This window comes from Homo sapiens, chromosome 6 (assembly GCF_000001405.40).
Source record: "Homo sapiens chromosome 6, GRCh38.p14 Primary Assembly".
NCBI classification, from domain to species: Eukaryota; Metazoa; Chordata; class Mammalia; order Primates; family Hominidae; genus Homo; species Homo sapiens.
In genome coordinates, this window is record NC_000006.12 from 120,014,661 (window position 1) to 120,016,663 (window position 2,003).

Below are 2,003 nucleotides of genomic sequence, written 5' to 3' on the forward strand. Positions count from 1 at the left end.
CCTAATCCAAAAGGAAGCCATCAAGAAAAAGTAACGAAGGATCTATACAACATTTAGAAAACAATTAAAAAATGACAGTAGTAAATCTATAATTACCTTGAGTGTAAATGGATTAAATTCTCCAATAAAAAGTAGATAAATAGATACAAAAAAGTCCCAACTCTATACTACTTATAAAATTCTCGCCTCACCTTTAATCACACACATAGACTGAAAGTGAAGGAATGAAAAAAGATTTCATGCAAATGGAAACCAAAAGAGCAGAAATATCTATACTAGATAAGGTAGACTACATCAAAAATTGTAAAAGACAAAGAAGGTCACTATATAATAATGAGGTCAACTTATCAAGAGGACATAACAATTCTAAATACAAATGTACTCAACATCACAGCTCCTAAATATATAAAACAAATATTAATATATATGAATGGAGAAAATACAAGGAAACTTCACTATCCAGCTTCCAAAAATGGTTATTCTTCAGAAAGAAAATCTACAGGAAAACATCAGACTGAAACTACACTTTAAGGGGACCAAAGAGATATATAGATATCAGCTACCTATATACCTGTTCGGTCTCTTTAAAGTGTAGTTTAACTGATTTTTTAATGGATATATACATATCAATGGAGACATATATAACTTATGGATATAGAACATTTCATCCAACATTAGCAGAATACATGTTCTTAAGGGCACATGAAACATTCTTTGGGATAGATTGCAGGGTAGGCCACAAAACAGGCCTTAACAAATTTAAAAATATTAAAATTATACTACATATCTTTTTTGACCTCAATGGTATGATACTATAAATAATTTTAAAAATTTCATAAAATTTCCAAATAAATGGAAATTTAAAAGTCGTGACCTTTAACAATGAACGATTCAAAGAGAAAAATAAAAGGGAAATTAAAAAATATCTTGAGACAGTGAACACACAACATGCCAAAACTTATGGGATTCAGCAAAAGGAGTTCTTTTAAGGTAGAAGTTTATATCAATAAATACCTATGTCAGAAAAAGAACATTATTAACAACTTAACATTATTTCTCAAGTTACTAGAAAAATGAGCACACTAAGACCAAAGTCAGTAAAAGAAAGAAAATAATAAAAATCTGAGCAAAAATAAAAAAATAGACTTGAAAACATTAGAAAAGATTGCTGAAACCAAGAGTTGCTATTTTGAAAAAATAAAATCAACAAACCTTTAGCTAGACTAAGAAAAATGAGAAAACTTATGGGCAAGGACTTCATGTCTAAAACACCAAAAGCAATGGCAACAAAAGCCAAAGTTGACAAATGGGATCTATTAAAACTAAAGAGCTTCTGCATAGCAAAAGAAATTGCCGACAGAGCGAACAGGTAACCTACAGAATGGGAGAAAATTTTTGCAATCTACTCATCTGACAAAGGGCTAATATCCAGAATCTATAAAGAACTCAAATTTACAAGAAAAAACAAACAACCCCATCAAAAAGTGGGCAAAGGATATGAACAGACACTTCTCAAAAGAAGACATTTATGCAGCCAACAGACACATGAAAAAATGCTCATCATCACTGGCCATCAGAGAAATGCAAATCAAAACCACAATGAGATACGATCTCATACCAGTTAGAATGGCGATCATTAAAAAGTCAGGAAACAATAGTTGCTGGAGAGGATGTGGAGAAATAGGAACACTTTTACACTGTTGGTGGGACTGTAAACTAGTTCAACCATTGTGGAAGACAGTGTGGCGATTCCTCAGGGATCTAGAACTAGAAATACCATTTGACCCAGCCATCCCATTACTGGGTATATACTCAAAGGACTATAAATCATGCTGCTATAAAGACACATGCACACGTATGTTTATTGTGGCACTACTCACAACAGCAAAGACTTGGAACCAACCCAAATGTCCAACAATGATAGACTGGATTAAGAAAATGTGGCACATATACACTGTGGAATACTATGCAGCCATAAAAAATGATGAGTTCATGTCCTTTGT

At 32.4% G+C, this 2,003-nt stretch overlaps 1 non-coding gene across 1 annotated transcript; it reads left to right on the forward strand.

Annotated features, from left to right (window-relative positions):
• Nucleotides 1–518: 518 nt before the first annotated feature.
• Nucleotides 519–597, forward strand: MIR3144 (microRNA 3144). The gene has a single exon (NR_036098.1). It is a non-coding gene; the product is annotated as a microRNA 3144 (primary transcript).
• The last annotated feature ends 1,406 nt before the right edge of the window (nt 598–2,003 follow it).